This window comes from Homo sapiens, chromosome 9, assembly GCF_000001405.40.
Source record: "Homo sapiens chromosome 9, GRCh38.p14 Primary Assembly".
In the NCBI taxonomy this organism is placed as follows: domain Eukaryota; kingdom Metazoa; phylum Chordata; class Mammalia; order Primates; family Hominidae; genus Homo; species Homo sapiens.
Genome location: NC_000009.12, coordinates 90,287,112 through 90,300,895, shown reverse-complemented (window position 1 = coordinate 90,300,895; position 13,784 = coordinate 90,287,112). Strand labels below are relative to the sequence as shown.

The following is a 13,784-nucleotide window of genomic DNA, read 5'->3' as shown; positions in this document are numbered from 1 at the left end:
CTGTCACATTCCCTCTGCCTGGATTCCAGTTAATTCATTGCCTGCCCGTTTATTATTCCCTCCAAGCTGAGAAATCATCACTAATGTGATTGTTCACTCCAGGCATTTTCAGGCCATGGACACTTGTGGGGAGAGGCATTGTCAAAACGACTACCAAACTGAGTTTATCAACACTAGCTGGGTTAATGACAACTTGTGGGAGACAGACAGTACAAGCAGCGCTTTAGGTGAAATTTACAGCCTTAAGTATTTACAGTAAGCAGTAGTAAAGCTAAAAATTGATGGGCAAAATGACTAAACTAATTAGTAATGAAAAGCAAAATAAACTCAAAGCAAAAAGGAGGAGGTAAAATTGTGAAAATAAAAAGCTATAATAGAAAATCAACAATCAACTTTCAAAAAAGTAATTGTCTGTTCTGACTTGCCCAGGATAGCCCTAGTTTCCCTGCCATCTGGCGTCATGTTCCAATTAGCTTACCTTGTGGATTATTTGTTATTGAAATATTATTAATAGTTGAATTCTGCTTATCCAGGATGAATTTGATAAACCTCTCTTTTGTATTTCTAGCTTGTTTCGTGGTCTCATCTCGCAGTGTGTGCAATTAAGCAGAAATCTCATTGTAACATGTGTTTTTAAGTCTGAGAGACGACCTGTGATAAACTGCCTCTCTTTTTACAATCTTTTCCAGAGAGGACATGATTAGCACCTCCCCTAGAGGAACAGCATGCCTGCAGGGTTAGCTGATCAATCGTGTGTGCCGAGACACAAACAGTTAGGGACAGATAACTTCTCCTGATGGTGGGGACATGCTTGGCCCTGCCACTTTTGCCACACATTTGGTGTACCAGCTAGTTGGTACACCAGGCTGCTTCCTAGTGAGGACAATCATTAAACATGGGAAATTAAGGGTCAGGTGTATGTGAAATATACATGGGAAATAGAAGTAAACCAATTCTTTTATAGAGTGTAAATAGCCTGAACATGCTTGTTATGGCATTCTTCTCATCTTATGTAGGGTAAATCTATAATTATTTATTATATTGTTTGGCAACACTATCTCCTTTTGCAATTAAGTACTTTGTTTTGCAACAATGAGCTAACAACTCCAAACGTTTATGTTCAATTAAAAAATATATACAGAAATTCTATTCCTCAAGAAGATTGATGATGGATAGTTAGTTACCTTGCACAGAATATTCAGTGGCACAGACCTCCCGCCGTGGGGTTCATGGTGAACACATGAAAATGAGAAGTGACAACATGGGAATCAGAAGACATAAATAATTCAAAGGTTAAGAGTTATTGTAAGAAGACCATACCTGAAAGTGAAAATTGAACACATCTTCAGAAATGTGTTAACATAGCATGCTATGAAGGAAGGCTTTTCATTTAGATCAAATAGCTGTTTTCACTTTCATGTTCAAATTTTCATAGCATCTATAAAAAGTGAAGCTATAGCTGTAAATGTTTTGCCTCCTTTTTTTTTTTTTTTTTTTTTTTTTTGTTATTGTTGTTGAGATGGAGTTTCGCTCTTGTTGCCCAAGCTGGAGTGCAATGGCACGATCTTGGCTCACTGCAACCTCTGCCTCCTGAGTTAAAGCAATTCTCCTGCCTCAGCCTTCCGAGTAGCTGGGATTACAGGTGCCCGCCATCACATCCGGCTAATTTTTTGTATTTTTAGAAGAAACAGGATTTCACCGTGTTAGCCAGGCTGGTCTCGACCTCCTGACCTCAGGTGATCCACCCACCTCGGCCTCCCAAAGTGCTGGGATTGCAGGTGTGAGCCACCACATCTGGCTGTGTTTTGTCTTCTGTTAGCAGAAGAACATGGTCAACAATTGAATAATGCCAGATTTCTATCGATGAATTGGATTCCTCAAATAGATCATGTATTTCATTCCAATACTGGCTTTATTGTTTCATCTAATCTATGGAATCAAAGTAGGTCTTTGGAATTTCATTTTGTTAAAGGTGAAACATCTGATATTATGTGAATGCTATCAGGATTTTAGTTAAAAAGTTCAATCATGAATACGAAAGTATTTGTATCCGTGATAATAATAGAATTTTGTTGGTGCCAACGTTCGTGGAAAAAACAATTTGTTGAGTTAAATCTTACAGCAGAAATATACTAGAAAGTGATTGTGGACACAAAATTCATAATTTGTTCCAAATAAATTTCAGTGTTCTGCCAACTGGAATAAAAATATAGTTCACAAAATTTACAAATATTTTATATATCCACAGCTCAGAAGCTGAACAACAAAATGTGTGAAGAAGCTGACAATTAAATTAAAAATAGCATAATGGAATGTGCTTTATTCCTCTTTTTCACTCAACACAAATCTTATTTTAAATCACTGAACCTTTGAAGTAACAATTTTATGAAGTAATCCAAGTAATCAACAATGATATTTAATTTTTATAAATGAGTCTTTCAAGTTTAGTTCTGTATTTTATTCCAAATGAGTGAAAAATCTTAACACACAAGAACATCTACAAAAAATACTCAAAGAAAATGGTTTGACTGACAATTTTGCAGCATCTAAATTTGGCAAAATATACCCAAAAATGTATAGAGACAGTTTGATAAGTTTATCTTGTAAGATATTTGTCAATGAAATATATTCTGAGGGAAAGCACATTGTAGTACCATACCTAGAAAAATACTTGAACTAAAATATTTACATTTTAATTTAAAAATTGGAACTGCGAATAACTCCTGCCAAACTCTGCTGACACTTTAATTTCAGCCTGTGAGACACTGAACAGGGAACCCAGTCATGCTCTGCCGGATTCTGACCCACAGAAACTCAGATGAGACATTTATGATGTTCTAAGCTGCTGAGTTTGTAGTAATTTGTCATGCAGCAAATTAAACAATAAAATAACACGATAAAAAAAACCCTAGAAATAAATACTTAACAAAATACTCCGAAAGACAAAAATGGCATTTCATAAGGAAAAAGACATACATGGCCAATAAATATATGAAAGATATATTTAAATTTAACCTCTAACAAGCAGTGCAAGTGAAGCTATGATGAAATAATATTTTATATCTATTAAATTGCCATTACTTGAGAAAACCATCAATACCAAGATTTGCAGATGATATAAATCAAGAATCTTGTATATATTGTTCATAGAAATGTAAATTAATATAACTACTTGGGTAAATTATGTAGCATTATGTAGTAAAGTGGAATATTTGCGTATCTTATTATGACTAGGAAATTCTCTTCCTGGGAACATTCCCAAGAACTTTGCAAGTGTGCATTAGGAATGACGTATAAGTTCAAAACAGCACGGTTTTTGTTAGACATACCTTGGAAATAACCAAAACCCCTGTTAGTGGAAGAATGTATAAATTAACTGTGGCACAGTCACACATGAAATATTATGTAGTAGTCAACATGGCAGCCACACAGAGCCATAGAGTTCAATCTTAGCAATATACAGTAATAAAATGTAGCACATTTCTGAAGGTTAAATATAGCAGGATGTCATTTTGATAAAGTTAAGAAATTAATTATCATAAGAACTTTTAAAAAGGTTTCTAGAAACTTTCATGCTAAAATAGTATTTTGCAAAAGCATCAGAATGATAAACACAAATTTCAGGAGAGTCATTACCTCAGATGGCAAACAGCAGGAGTTTGGGTAGGGAAGGAACACAGGGGAAGACGTTAAAGTGGCAATTGGATGTAAAATTAATGTGGCCTCTGGGAAATTTCTAGTAAATAGAATATTCAATTTAGCTTTCTTTTTTTCTATCTAATTTGCTTATAGTTCATAATAGCAATATAAAAACTTTCAAGGAAATAAAAAACCAGTTATCCCACTATGAAACAAAATACTTAATTTTCTTAATTTTTCCATGTTTTTTTCATTATGTCCGTCATATGTCAATAGATATTTTTTAACAGTTTAATTATGTCAGTAATTTATTGCACATTTTCTCTCTCTTTATAATTGGCTTTTGGATATAAACTGAGCGCCACAACCTCTGATGATTTATAGTCACAGATGCTCTAGAGGATTAATGCAGTATATCATGCTGTGCGTCAAATTTCTTGGAAGAAATCTACGAGGAAATCACTGAGTATTATTAGGGGATCAATCATGTGACTGAGTCTAGCTTTTAGCACACTGTTACTGCATCAGTCAATTGAAGAAATAAAACTAGTACCTCACATCTGTGTTTGCAAAGATGTTGGATTTGTCTGTACTGTGCGTAGCTCAAAATACTGGGGAAAACCTGCCTTCAGTCGTCTGCAGCGACCCAGCTGTGTGCACTGAGACTGACCACATGTCTTCCAGGGCAAGGGCTTCCTTATGGATGAAATGAGAAACTGGATTTGATGAGCTCTAATCTTCTTCTAACATCTCAGGTTTTGTAAACCTCAGAATGAAAAAGAACACTTCCAAGCAAGTTAATGCAAATACTGTCACTTGGAGACGTTTTTACTTTTGTGGTTAAATTTTTGTTGCTAGAAAAACAACACACAATTCTAACTCACTGCATTTTGGAGGCACAGAATATTAAACATTGATAGTAAATGGAAGCCTCTGTTACTCGCTCTTAAAAATGAAAGAAGGAAAGGCTAAGACAACATTGGCAAACTGGACAGTTACAGAAGGAGTGTTTAGCCACTAAGACAAAAATATGAGGACATTATGTGAATAAGGGAACTGGGTGTGCTCCTCAAAAAGAACTGGTGGTTGGGGCAGAGACATACAGAGTCTGCCTTCAAACATTTGAAATATTGTCCATAACTAAACAGGATTAAACCTTCCCTATGCAATTACAGAGACAGAATTAACACAAATAAATAGAATCAGACAGGCTAATAATAAATATCCAAATAAAAAAATAATCTTTTAAATATTAAACTTATTCAAAAACGAATTAGTTTCTCATGAAGCAATGTAATTAGTTGCATAATTATCAGAATTTATGGAGAAATATTCCAAAATTGGCTTAGAAGTTTAATAAAATGACCCTGAATTCCTTCCAATGTTAAGATTCTTTATATTATTTTGACATTAGAACATTATAAAACAGTACATAATCTTTTAACCCTCTTTATTTTTGCATATGAAACTTAAACACATCTTTTATGTAATCTCACAGACAACATGTATGTCTTTTTCCTTATGAAATGCCATTTTTGTCTTTGGGAGTATTTTGTTAAGTATTTATTTCTAGGGTTTTTTTTTATCGTGTTATTTTATTGCTTAATTTGCTGCATGACAAATTACTACAAACTCAGCAGCTTAGAACATCACAAATGTCCATCTGAGTTTCTGTGGGTCAGAATCCGGCAGAGCATGACTGGGTTCCCTGTTCAGTGTCTCACAGGCTGAAATTAAAGTGTCAGCAGAGTTTGGCAGCAGTTATTCGCAGTTCCAATTTTTAAATTAAAATGTAAATATTTTAGTTCAAGTATTTTTCTATTTAGTTCAAGTATTTTATATTTTGTGTTTGAATTTTGAATGCCCACCTATTTTCTGGAAAAAAAAATCTGAAAGGGTAAACATTTCCCTTCAATGTGACACTGAAGCAGAATTAGTATGTTAAACAAACGTGTGTTCCTTTGGTTCGAGATATTTTCTAATTTTCCTTGTGACCTCTTCCTTAACCCATTATTTAACAGTGTGTTACTTTCCACATATTAGTGTTTTTTTCAGCTCTCCTTTTGCTATTGATTTCTAGTTTTATTCCCTTATGGTCAGAAAAGATACTTAGTATGATTTTAATCTTTGTAAATTTTTCAAGACTTGTTTTATGAACTAAGACGTGGATAATCTTGTAGACTTATTTGGAAACTATAAAAAACTCTTACAACTTAATAATATGAGGACATATAACCCAATTAAAATGGGGCAAATAATAGATATTTCTTTAAAGAAAATATACAATGGGCCAATAAACCCATGAAAGATGCTCAACATCATTAGTCGTCAGACAAAAGCAAATCAGAAACACAGTTCTATACCACCTCACTCCTACTAGGCTATTAAAAAACAAAACAAAACAAACAAAAAACAAAAAAAAAAAAACCAGAAAATTAAAAGTGTTGAGAGGAAGTGAAGAAATTGGAATCCTCATACATTGGTGGTGGGAATATAAAACCGTGCAGCCACTTTGGAACACAGTTTGGCATTTCCTCAAAAAGTTAAATGACCTAGAAATTCTACTTTTAGGTTTACACCCAAATACAAAAAAATGTGAAGATATATGCCCCCACAAACACTTTTGCATGAATGTTCCTAGCAACATTACTCTTATTATTCAAAAATTAGAAGAAACCCAAATTTCCATCAATGAATGAATTGGTAAAAGGTGACATATTTATATAATTAAATATTATTCAATAATAAAAAGGAATGACATGCTGATACATGCTACAATATGGATGAACCTTGAAAACATAATGCTAAGTAAAAGGATGCAAGCCAAAAAAAAAAAAAAAAAAAAAAAACAAGCTACATATGGTATGATTCAATATATAAAAAATATCCAGAATAGACAAATCTATTAATGGCCGCTTAGCACCAAGGAGAGGGGTTGAGGAAAATGAGGAGTAACTGCTAAATGGCCAAGTTTCTCTTCGGAATGATGAAAACGTTTGAAAATTGATCATGGTAATGGTTGCAAAACTGTGGATATCCTAAAAACCATTGAATTAACCATTTAAATGGGCAATTTATATATGAATTATATATCAATAAAACTGTTACATAAATATTATGTACAAAAATATTCATGGGGCATTGAGAAAAAAATGAAAAATCAATAAAAATGTCCATTAGTGACAACTACATTGAAGAGCATCTTTTTAATGGAATATTATGTAGTCTCCCAAAAGAATATGGCAGAGAATACACCCACTGATGTATTCTGAATACACTCACTGATGAGAAGCAAGCTCTGTGCAACGAAAAGCCGGTTTTCTAAAAATGTATGCATACCATATTCCAATTTTTAATTTAAAGTGTATATATTTAGGCCAGGCGCGGTGGCGCATGCTTGTAATCCCAGCAGTTTGGGAGGTCAAGACGGGCAGATCACCTGAGCTCAGGAGTTCGAGACCAAGCTGGCCAGCATGGTGAAACCCCATCTCTACTAAAAATACAAAAATTACTTGGGCGTGGTGACACGTGCCTGTAATCCCAGCTACTTGAGAGGCTGAGGCAGGAGAATTGCTTGAACCCGGGAGGCAGTTTGTGGTGAGCCCAGATCACACCATGGCACTCCAGCCTGGGCAACAGAGGGAGGCTCCATCTCAAAAATAAAAATAAAAATAAATAAAGTGTTTACATTTATTAACTATTTGTGTAAGAGCACTACAAAATAAACAAAAGACAGAGCTATTTGCCAAAATCATCATTGGAAAGTATGGTGAAGAAGAAGAAAAGAAGAAAATATGAGAATGGGAGGCCATCTGAACCTTTTAATGTTTATTTTACATACTCTGAAATTGCTGGAATGTTTGAGGATGAGAATGTATTTTTGTATGATGTGGATAATGAGTTATAAACAGATAAACAAATAGTTAAATAGGAACACCGAGTGTGTGGAAATTAAGAGTTTGACAAAGGCTTACCATTCATTCAGTGTCCTCTGACCCAGCCAAGCAGGGCCACTGCTGCCGGTACAAATGGCTTCTGCCAGGGACTGTACCTGCAGGCTAGTCAGAATCATGGTTTTGAGGAGGACAGAGATTTTTATTCTGAGAAAAGAAAAGAGGGGCTATCCCAAGGTTTTGTGTTTTTTTGTTGTCTTTACATTTTATTGAATTATTTTCTTCTTCCTTTCCATTTTTTTATTTCTTGTAATTCATTTCTAATTTCTATTTTCATAATTCATTTCTATTTCTTGTGATTTATTTCTGTTTTTTTTTAATTTAATTTTATTTTAAGACAGAGTCTCACTCTGTTGCCCAGGCTGGAGTGCAGTGGAGCAATCTCGGCTCACTGCAACCTCCGCCTCCTGGGTTCAAGTGTTTCTCCTCCCTCAGCCTCCCAAGTAGCTGGGATTACAGGCATACGCCACTACGCCTGGCTAATTTTTATATTTTTAGTAGGGTTGGGGTTTCACCATGTTGGTCAGGCTGATCTCAAACCCCTGACCTCATGATCCATCCGCCTCAGCCTCCCAAGGTGCTGGGATTACAGGCATGAGCCACCATGCCCAGCTCTGTTTCTGTTTTTAATCGTTTATACCTGTTGATAAAAGAGAACATACCAAAGTCTATTAGTCACGTGCCAAATTAGAATTAGTTAAGGAGGATTTATTCCTAAAGAGAGCCTTTGATGTATGCAAGAAGATTGCAGGGTTGCCTCAGAGATAGTGCAGCTGTATTTTATATCAATATGTACATTTATCTATATAAGTTTATTTTAATATATTGGCTTACTTGACTACAATGGCTGAGAAGTTCCATGATCTACCATCTGCAAGCTGGAGACCCAGGAAAGCTGATGGTGTAGTTTGAAGGCCTGAGAGCCTCAGAGCAGATGGTATGGATCCCAGTCCAGGTCTGAAGGCCTGAGAACCAGCTGAGTGCAGGACAAGATCAATATTCCAGCTCAAGCAATCAGGCAGAGAGTTAATGCAACCATCCTCTGCCTTTTTGTTCTATTCCCACCCTCAACCGATTGGTGATACCTATGCAAATTGGGGAGGGCCGTCTGCTTTACTCCATCCACCAGTTAAAACACCAGTCTCTTCCAGGAACACCCTCACAGACACAGCCAGAAATCATGTTTAAGTGCTATCTGGGCATCCTGTGGCCCAATCAAGTTGTCTCATAAAGGCAACCATCACAGCAGCGTGAGAGCTATGACCACCCTTAGATCTAGCAGGACTCAAGGAAGAGCTGGTTCAGAAACTGAAATGAGAGTTTGAGGAACAGTGGTGTTCAGCAGAGGAATCCATCCTCCAAAGGTTACCTCACTTTGTGAACACCAGAGAAGCACCTGACCTCTCTCTGCTCTCCCTACAATCTCTTGCCAGAGGTCCCCACTGGGAAATTTATGGGAATCCCACAGACATTGGCCTAGCCTCCTGGGGCAGAGAATAAGATAAGAAGAGTCTGAATTTGGAAAATAGTGTAAAGATCTGGATAGAACATTTTGACCTCTATTTGCTGTACAGCGTACCAACTTGCTGTGTGAACTTGACATTTCTTGCAATTCTTCTGAATTGCAGTCTGTTCTGATTGGCATTTTAAATGTCAAGAATAGCCTTAAAACAGATTCAGCCCAATTGCTCCACAATAGAAAGTTGTATTTAGTTTAGGCAAGGTCTCTCGTGACTACAATTTGCATAGTACTTTCTTATCCAAAACTGCTTTTGAGAGAACTCTTGTAGGCTTAATTTAACCTTTATCTCAATAGTTTTAGAAATGAAGCACTCTTTTTCAAATACTGCCCACAATTCATTTTTAATTGCTCCTTCAAAAGCAATACTTGAAAATATTCCCACAGCAAAAACCAAATCACTTTTTTTTTCCTTCTCAGAAGATGGAGAAGGGAGGAGTCCTTTGGCAGAAGGGACACATTCAGTCAGCCACGTGATTGTGAGTCTTCAGGGAGACCTTGCTGTAGCTCTGTCTTTCCAAACCAAGCATGTTCCTTCTGGTGGGCAAAACAGGGCTGTGCTTTAGCCCACATGGAAAATAAACATCCTCCTCATGGCCTCCACACGAGCAAGACAAGAATGGTTTATGATGTCTACTTCATGTCCATGTGAGGTATAGGTGCAAATCTAATTAATTTTGATTAGATTGTTCTGATCTTTTTAGATTTGAATAGCTGGTTTCATTATGCCCATTTACCAATGCCAGCCATACCCAGGCTATCTATGCATATATCATTGCCTCACATATAAGTAAATTTTAGGAAAATGCTTATCTCTTTAGAACCAGCGTGTAACTCATGTGGTCAAGATAATGCTTGACTGGGATTCAAGTTATGTGAGTCACATACAGTGTGTTTTTATGTTACCATAAACATTGAAATCCACTGCAGAGTCCCTTAAGGCAGGCTTTTCCAAAGCAGAGGACTTGTCCGAATCACCTGAGAACCAGATTTACTCCAGGCTGATTGAGCCAAACTGAACCTAGAATCTATCTTTTTAAAGAGCTTGTCATTTGATTCCAATGTGCGGCATGTTTGGAACACTGCAGTACAGAATACTTTCTTTAATCAGTAAAGAAGACATTCTATTTTCTACAGGATAAGTACCATGGAAGTATATGTGTGCATACACACACACACTTACAGGTGTTATGTCGGGGCAGTAATTGGTGAGGCTTCTGTTAGGAACACTTTGGAGGGTATTTTTCTGGTGCTTCCTCACATAATGACCTAAGGCAGGTAGAGAGATGACTGGCAGTAGATGGGTAACTGCAGAATAATTTTTAATATTATTTGTTAAATGACTAATTTTAATTTCAGGAACCTGAGGAAAATGTGTTGACCCTATTTAAGTCCTCAAACTTTTTCTCTGGTAATTAATCATAACTTCCAATTTTATTTTAAATCTATTTACATTTTGCCCCCAAGATGATAATAGTACCCAGGGAATATAAAACAGGTAGGGTAGGATGGTAGATGCAACCCCCAAATATATCACTAATTTCATTAGCCGTAAAGAGGATAATCTGTTATATTAAGTGAAAAGTGAATACTCCAACTAAAACTAGGAGATTTTCAAACTAGATTTTTTAAAGTACCTAGTTATATATGGCTTACAGAACATATGCTTTAAATATAAGGCTGTATGCAGTACCTGTTAATGGGATGCCACATTTATAAACTAAAGAATTTTCTCCGGATGAAATGGGAGTGTTCCGTTATCCCCCCTCACAGGGCTTGTGGCAGGAATATGGCTTGCTTCTTTAGTGCCCCACTGCTCAAACCCCTAGGGGGAGCATGCAGACAGGCAGGCCATGGGGAGCGTGGGCTCCGACCCCACGGCAGCATCTAGGGTTGAGTGTTTACAGCTCCTGGAGCCCCAGTGGGTGTGTGTTACAGTGCACTCTTTCAGCTTTACTGTCTTCAGGTGGCTTGTGTTAATCTGCTCAATTAGACCCTCTGCCTTATCACAAAGACAGAGGGCTTTCTATATCCTGGGTTCTTGCCCTAGTGTACAAGAAAAATTGGATCACATGTGGGCTTGGAGGATGGGTGCAAGGTTTTACTGAGTGGTGGAGGTTGCTGTCAGTAAGGTGGATGGGGAGCCAGAAGGGGGATGGAGTGGGAAGGTGGTCTCCCCCTGAAGTTGAGCCACCCAGTGGCCAGAATCTCCTCCAACCACCCTTGACTGAATTCCACATTGTCCTGCCTTGATGGCCTGCCAGTGTGTGCTGGTGTCTGTCAGTGTGTTGTTCTGCCCCTCTTGACATCCAGCCACTTGTGTCTGTGCCCACTAGGGTCTTGGGATTTTATGGGCACACAGTGTGGGGGGTGTGGTGGGCCAGAGTAGTCTTGGAAAATGTAACATTTGAGTGTGAAAACGGGAATGCCTGTTCTTACTTACATCTGTGGGCACAGGTCCAAGGGTGGAGACCTTGACAGGGACTCTGCCCTTCTCTATCCAGCATTTCCCTGCCTTCCTGCCATATCAAAAATATGTAGAAAATAAAATAAAATAAAATATTCATTAGTGATAAGCACTTTTAACAAACTAGAAATAGCAGGAAACTTTCTTAATTGGATACAGGAGATCTAAAAAGCAAATAAAAATTAAAGCAAACATAATTAGAAGGTTTAAAACATTTCCTGTAAGACCAGAAACAAGACCAAAATGCCTGCTATTTCCATTTTCATTCAATTCTATAGTGGAGATACCAGCAAGTACGATAAGAGACATAGGAAAATAGAAATAAAAAAAATAAAAACTGAAAAGGAATAAATAGAATTGTCATTATTCTGTATGTGGATCACTCCATGCAGAAAGTTCAAAATAATCTATAGTCTACTCAAACTAATAAGCAAATTTGTTAGGGTTATAATATGAATATATGCAAATCTACTGTGTTTCTATATACTAGCAACAAATCATTAGAAAATAAAATTTAATGCAAAGAGACCATTTATAAAATTATCAAAAACTTGAAAAACAGGAATAAGTCTAAACGAAGCCTCGCTAGTGAACTCAACTCAGGTGGTGAGAAGCTGTGTCTGTAATCCCTTAGCCTGGGCTGCCTCCAGAAAGGAACAACCTCCCATAGGCTCCTCCAGTGGTGTTTCTTTGCTGCTGGATCCCATCACTAAAGCCTCTTAAACTGGTGCTATGGACTTAGTGAGCCTATTTTCTCCCCTACTGCAAATCCCCAAAACACCATAACCAATTGACTTTTGCCTAGCTAGGACAGCAGTTTGCTTTTCTCATATCATTTTCAAGGATATATCGCCTCTTTAGCTTGGTGTGACCTTGATTACGTCATCCCAGTTTATCATGTTGATACCCTACACTGATAAAATTGAAGTTTTTTTTTAAGAGGGAGCATCTAAATCACATGAAAAGAGTTAGTGAGCTTATTGGGAGTCCTGTGGTCTGGGACTTATACCAATATCCTCTGCAAAGGTAAGAATCTTGTATGCTTTCTGCCACAGAGAAGGTAGCCTGATACAAGGGGGCCTCTGGATTTACTAGGCAGCCAATTCCACATTTGCTGGCTGCGCTGTGGTCTGCCTGGCTGAAGGGTTTGAGCATCTCCCTGGGTAAGAAAGAGCTCTCCAGCTGGTCAGACTGCAGTGCCACTCAGCCCTGTCACTTGGCCCAAGCAGACCCCGAGGGAAAGAGTTCCAGTAGAATAGGATGCTGTCTCTGTGGCTGGGGCAGGCTCTGATGGGAAAGCACAGTGGAAGGCCCCAGAATTTTTTTTTTTTTAACAAAACTCGTTGTTATGGCTATTTTCCTTCTGAGAAACACCTCCTAACTTATCTAGTGGAGAGTGTGTGTTTAACTATGACACACGAGGTGAACAGGGGAGCCAAAAGGTCCTACACGAGCTGCATTCTGCCTGACTCAGCTGCCATAACGTCAGTAGGCTCAGAAGCATTCCAGTGTCAGGTGGAGGTGTCTGTTGTGCAGGGGACCTGCCTCAGGCTGGCCCTGAAGTGCTAGCATGATGTCCTTACAGCACTGCAGGCTGCCCTCAGCCCGCCCCTGAGCTTTCTGGGGATTCCCTATGACGGCTTCACAGAGAAACTGAAACTTCAGGTCTCTTTTACAAATGGCTCAGGTCGATATCCAGAGCAGCTGGAGAGCATCCTGATTCTGCAGGCTTCTCATTTTAACTCAATGTCACCTTCTCGGAGACACCCCCTTTTCTTAACTTTTCTATCCAAAGAAGCACCAACTCCATACCTTTCCGTCATACCACACAGTTTTATTCTCATCATACAACTTAGTATATTAAATGGTCCAGCTTGTTAATTTCCTTTGTTTTTGTCTGTTTCCTTTGTTTAAAATATAAAACACCTAAATGTAGGGAGCTTATTTGTCCAGGCACATAGAAAAGTGTTTGAATTCACACTGTTCAACCCCAGATATGTAATTTTAAGGTTCCTACAAAATATTTTTTAAAGTTTTTTAAAAAAAAATTATTTAAATAACATATCTTGTTTAACCTAATATATATCAAAATATTATCATTTTAACGTGTAATCAATATTAACATTTCTTTAAATGAGATCCAGTGTGTATTTTACACTTACAGCTTATCTCAATTTGGACTCTCTACGTTTCTGGAACTCAAACG

At 37.5% G+C, this 13,784-nt stretch overlaps 1 annotated feature.

The window, feature by feature from the left end:
• Window positions 13,102–13,381: an enhancer, noted in NCBI's record as "active region_28570". NCBI's record gives its function as "activates an Ori minimal core promoter by ATAC-STARR-seq in GM12878 lymphoblastoid cells {active_cell/tissue: GM12878}" and the evidence as "EXISTENCE:reporter gene assay evidence [ECO:0000049][PMID:35858748]".